At 43.9% G+C, this 5,811-nt stretch overlaps 1 annotated feature.

Moving 5' to 3' along the window:
• Positions 5,402-5,571: a silencer, noted in NCBI's record as "silent region_20702". NCBI's record gives its function as "represses an Ori minimal core promoter by ATAC-STARR-seq in GM12878 lymphoblastoid cells {active_cell/tissue: GM12878}" and the evidence as "EXISTENCE:reporter gene assay evidence [ECO:0000049][PMID:35858748]".

The following is a 5,811-nucleotide window of genomic DNA, read 5'->3' on the forward strand; positions in this document are numbered from 1 at the left end:
AGAAATAGCACGTGTGAAGGCAGGGAATGTGAGATTTTAAAGGAACAAGAAAATTGGCTAAAAACCGTAACCAATATGGCTAAGGTCGGGAGAGAGAGAGAAAAGGCAGGGGGAGGACTTAGAACACTGTCTGACACATAGCTAGTGTACAATACACATTAGCTATTGAGGGACTCTTGAGAAAAGCCTGCCCTTCCTTAAATGAAACTCCAACTTGGGGTAAATCTTCACAACTCCAATATTATGCTAGAAATGCTACTGCCTACTTGATGGTCATTAAGTAAATTAAAATTGTCCACTGATTTAACAGTGGATCTCAAACCTAGCTTCTCATTAGAAATACATGGGGAGCTTTTTAAAAATACTGTTTCTTGTAAAGATTAGCCTCAACCATCCAGACTGAATGCAGGAGCAGATATGAGAATCCAGCTGTCTTCTATTAAGCCAAACATTAAAGAAATTTGGAGAAATATAAAATGATACCACTCTTTTCACGATTTATTTTTTATTTTGGAAAACATATTTTAAAATAAATATTTATGTTAATATGTTAAAAAATACTGCTTCTTTGACATCCCCTCTCCACCCAACCAACTAAATCAGAAACCTTAGGAGATGGAGCCTGAGTATTTAAATTTCCCCAGCTGCTCTTACATGCGGCCAGCTTTGAGAACCAGGACAACATTTCAACATGAACTAGTTTATTAGTGAACAGCTAGCCAGCCTGTCACTAAGCCAGGCCCCAGCTGGGATACAAGAAAGGTAAATTAAAATTTAAGTCTGGGCTGGGCACGGTGGATCAAACCTGTAATCCCAACACTTTGGGAGGCCAAGGTGGGAGGATCACTTGAGGTCAGGAGTTCGAGACCAGCCTGACCAACATGGTGGAACCCCCGTCTCTACTAAAAATACAAAAAATTAGCCAGGTGTGGTGACACACGCCTGTTAATTCCAGCTACTCATGAGGCTGAGGCAGGAGAATCACTTGAACCCGGGAGGCAGAGGTTGCAGTGGGTCGAGATTGCACCACTGCACTCCAGCCTGGGCAACAGAGCAAGACTCCGTCTCAAAAAAAAAAAAAATAATAATAATAATAATAAATAGTAATAATAAAATAAAAAATAAAATTTAAGTCTGGATGAGTTTACTGAGAGCCTGCTCTAGGGTAGACACTTTTCATTCACTGTGTTATTTGGTCTCCAAAAATTCTATAACGCAATTTCATCCCATTTCATAGACAGCAAACAATTGGTATCCAGAGAAGCAGGTTTTCTAGATCATACAACAAACAAACGGGGGAAGCAGGATTTAAGAGCTAGTCGTTTTGCATTCCAAACCCTACCCTCTATCTGCTACCTCATAGAGCTTTCTAAGAAAGTGGTGAATGGTTGCAGCCCTTGGGAACTTAAAAAAAAAAAAAGGAAATTAGAGACTGAAAAAGTGGTGGGATTGAGAAGGCTCCAAGGGAGAAGTATCAGAGGACATAAGACAGACTTCACATAACCTGACATTTTCCCCACAGACAGAGCTGCTAGGTATGGCAGACCTCTGGGTACCCATCGCTCACCCAGAAACTTCTCCCCACGTTGCTGGGGAGTCATCCTTGATACCTTGCTTTCTTTTATGTCCCACATCTAATTCATCAGTAAGTGCTATTCTATGCCTCTAAACCATCTCCAGAATCTGACCACTTCTCAATATACGCACAGCTACAACCCTCGTCTTACAGACTAAATGTTTGTCCCCACCCCCAAATTCACGTGTTGAAGCCCTTTCCCCCCAATGTGATGGTATTAGGAGGTGGGGCCTCTGGGAGGTGACTAGGTTTTGATGAGGTTTTGAAGGTGGGAACCTCATGATGGGATGAGTGTCCTTATAAGGAGAGGAAGAGACCTCAGAGCCCTCTCTCTCTCTCCATCAGGTGAGGAGTCAATGAGAAGGTGGCCATCTGCAAACCAGGAACTGAATCTGCCAGCACCTTGATTTTAGACCTCTCAGCCTCTAGAACTGTGAGAAATGAATGTCTATCGTTAACGCCACCAAAAATATGGTATTTTGTTATAGCAGTCCGAGTTGACTAGGACACCCAGTCCAAGTCACCGCAAGTCCTCATTGGGCTGACTATCTTCGCCTCCCTTGTACTCTTGCTCCCAGACAGTCTCTCCTCACACAGCGGCAAGAGTTATCAAGGGAAAAAGAAATCAGAGCATGCTGATCAAGCAGGCTGCTTCTCTTCAAACCTTCTAACAACTTCCCATTTCAACCAGACCAAAATCCCTACTCCTCCGTGGCCCTCTGAGCTCTGGGACTGCCTATTTCTCCAGCTCCGTCACCTGCCGTGTTCCCTCTCATGCACACTGGCCTTCTCCCATCCCTCACCATTTGCTGCTATGTCGGGGCATTCCTACACTCCATTCTCTCTAACTGGAGTGCTTTCACCCAGATCTTTGCATGGCAGCCTGCTTTTCATTTTGCTCTCAACTCCAACTTCACCTCCCCAGAGAGGCCTTGCCTGACCATCATAGCTAAAAGAGACCCCCTTCCTCTCCTTGCTAGTCATGTGCTAGACACTCAATAATCACTTGCTTACTGGTAGGCATGCTTTTTCAAAAGTGTAACTAACTGCATCCATGGCCAGAAGGATTGTGATTCTTTAGTTGGAAATTCTATTCATCACACCCTGACATGCTCTTCAGCCTTGAACCCATGGCTAGTTCTCTTTTCTGTTCGCAAAATGAGAATAATGATTAACATGAGTCTTGAGGCGACCTTCTGACCGAGGGCTCGATGTGGGTTAGTAATTAGACTCCCAGTGCCATATCCAGAAAGAGGGAGAACCCAGAGCCAAATCCTTTTCTTGCGCCTTTTCCTTTGCATTTGATGTTGGCTTTTCATTTAGAACATTCAGGGAGGAGGCAAATAAATATTACATTGGCTGACACTGTGTGAATGCTCATCACATCCAGTCAGGGCAGAAAGGCTGGAAGCAAACCATTACGAGAAACCCTCATAGGCTTGGACCAGACTCTAAGTCCATTAATCTCCTGCAAGATAACCAAGTCCACTGTCAATAAAAAATTAACGACACCATTTCCTGAGCTTGGCACTATCTAAGAGTCCAAACAGACCCAGGAAATGGAGTGTAGCTTCTACTCCAGATCCTTCATGAAAAAAAGGGATATTGCCCAGGACAAATGACAGAGCTGCCTCCATGGTGAGTGTCCAGTCTTCTGCCTGCCCTCCCTAATTGCAACACTGATCTGCTGTTATATAGTCCCCTCTTTTCTCCTCTCTGTAGCCAGAAGCTCTAAACTTGTAGACCCTCATGAGGCCTGTGCGTAGAATTCAGGAGTCTCTAACTTGGATGGGAAACTTTTACTTTTGTTCCCTCTAATCTCTAACTGAAATGTGGCATTTCCTTTAAATCAACGTAGGTAACAAACTGCAGCACCACTAGCAGTGCCTGTGACTTTGTCGCCAATAAAATTCAGTTATTTTCATATCACATTTCAGTTGTTGCAGATATCTCAAAATCCTGTTAACACTCACACTACTTCAAAAGTACTGAAGTTATTACAACTGTTGTTACATCTTGTTATTAACATGTTAATAAAGAAGCACCTGTATTACTGTTTCACAAACCTGTTTTTAAAATATATTTTGGTAGCTGTATTTTGATATGATTGATTTCCTTTGTTATCCAGTATATTTTATATTATGCTTTTAAAAACACTTCCTGAGAGGGAATTCATAGGCTTCACCAACCTTCCAAAGCTGTGCCTGGCACCAGAAAGACTAAGAATACCTGCCCTAGTTCCCACCTTTGGTCACATGGCAAAGTGGCCAAGTCTTCTCACTGATGTACAAGAGAAGTTTCCATCTGAGGCAACTTGCAATTCAGACAAGGTTTGTCGTCTAACCTGTCTCCACGCGACGCCCCACTCTGCCCTGCCTCACTGTCCCTAGCAGTGTTTCTTAGCTTTTGTAGGCCATGCTGCCCTTTAATAAACATTTATGCCCACCTTTAATGCTCTCTGAAATGCAAAATCAACACTGTGATTAAAAACCACTCAATAGTCAGAAAGAATGAATAAGACCTACTATTTGATAACACAACACGGTGACTATACTCAATACTAACTGTACATTTTAAAATAACTTAAAGAGTGTAATTGGATTGTTGGCAACTCAATGGATAAATGCTTGAGGGGATGGATACCCCATTTTTCATGATGTGCTTATTTCACATAGCGTGCCTGTATCAAAACATCTCCTGTACTCCATAAATATATATACCTACTATGTACCCACAAATTTTTCTTTTAATTATTAAAAAACCACTAAGTAGGGCAAAGTATTTCTTTATGTTAAATCCCCACATGTCAACTTCACCAGAAATTTCGATTCCCCAATCTCACTAGCAACTGTGGCTGAGAATCACTTCTGAATGAATCACTTCTTTTTTTTTTTTTGAGATGGAGTTTCACTCTTGTTACCAGGCTGGAGTGCAATGGCGCGATCTCAGCTCACCGCAACCTCCGCCTCCTGGGTTCAAGTGATTCTCCTGCTTCAGCCTCCCGAGTAGCTGGGATTACAGACATGCGCCACCACGCCCAGCTAATTTTGTATTCTTAGTAGAGACGGGGTTTCTCCATGTTGATCAGGCTGGTCTCGAACTCCCGACCTCAGGTGATCCCACCCGTCTCAGCCTCCGAAAGTGCTGGGATTACAGGCATGAGCCACCGCGCCCGGCCTGAATGAATCACTTCTAAATGAATTCTACTGAGAGGACAGTAGAAACCACTCGTGTTCTTGGTTACCTCCTAGGTATTTACCTGACTAACTGTCCCATTCCTACCAGTATCCCAGGCTAGGATGGGTTGACTTCTATTCCTAGACTGAGATGTAAGGATGAGGGTCTAGATTGGCATGGGGTGGGCAATTTCCCTTTCTCTTTTAGTTCTGAGATAACAAGCATGGCGTTTCTGGAAAACAAGTTTACCAAGACACTAAAGGGAAAGGCAGAAACCATGTAGAAAATACAGAAGTCTGAAATCAAGCTTGTCTTCAGAGAACAGATTTCTTATCCCAGGGTGACTCCAGTCTGGCTTAACACTGGCCTGGCACTCATCACTGGGCACTCAAGCCCCTGTTATTTTCTTCCTCTCTAACTGGGATGTGAGACTTGGCAACTCTAAACCCTATCCAGAGGGAGTTCACGGTTGGCACAGCTGCTAGGCCTGGCAGGAATCTCAGGCCCTTCCAATGTCAGCTTCCTGAATTCTCTCCAGGTGTGGGCAGGGTGAGAAGAAAAGAGGCCAATGGTAAAATCCGAGAAAAAGCTAACATATGAGAGGCAGGGAGAGGATATGGATCCACGGAAGGGATAGAGAAAGAACGATAGTGGAGAAGAGCTACCCCAAAGAATCATGAAATGAGCACCGTGTGTGGGCCCAGCTGAGTGGCCTTCTCTTTGGCTCCCCCTTGAGGGCACCTCCTGGTACTGCACCTAGCCCCGGACCCCCAGCCTAGGCCACAAGTAACCCTGGCACCCCTACGAGACAAACATACACAAACACACATACACGCACACACATTCCTGCCTGGTCCTCCAAACACTCATTTCCAACCTCCTTCTCCCTTCTCTGAGAAGCTGAAAAAGCTAATCTTCTCCCAATGTCTCTTGAGTGTAGGAGTGGCCATGTGCTACCAGTCTGACCACTCAGATATAAAAGGAAATTTACTGGAGTGGTACTGGAGAAAATATTACGTTTCCTTATTAAAGGAACAGACACAACTTTCCCCTTCCCT

This window comes from Homo sapiens, chromosome X, assembly GCF_000001405.40.
Source record: "Homo sapiens chromosome X, GRCh38.p14 Primary Assembly".
Classification (NCBI taxonomy): Eukaryota; Metazoa; Chordata; class Mammalia; order Primates; family Hominidae; genus Homo; species Homo sapiens.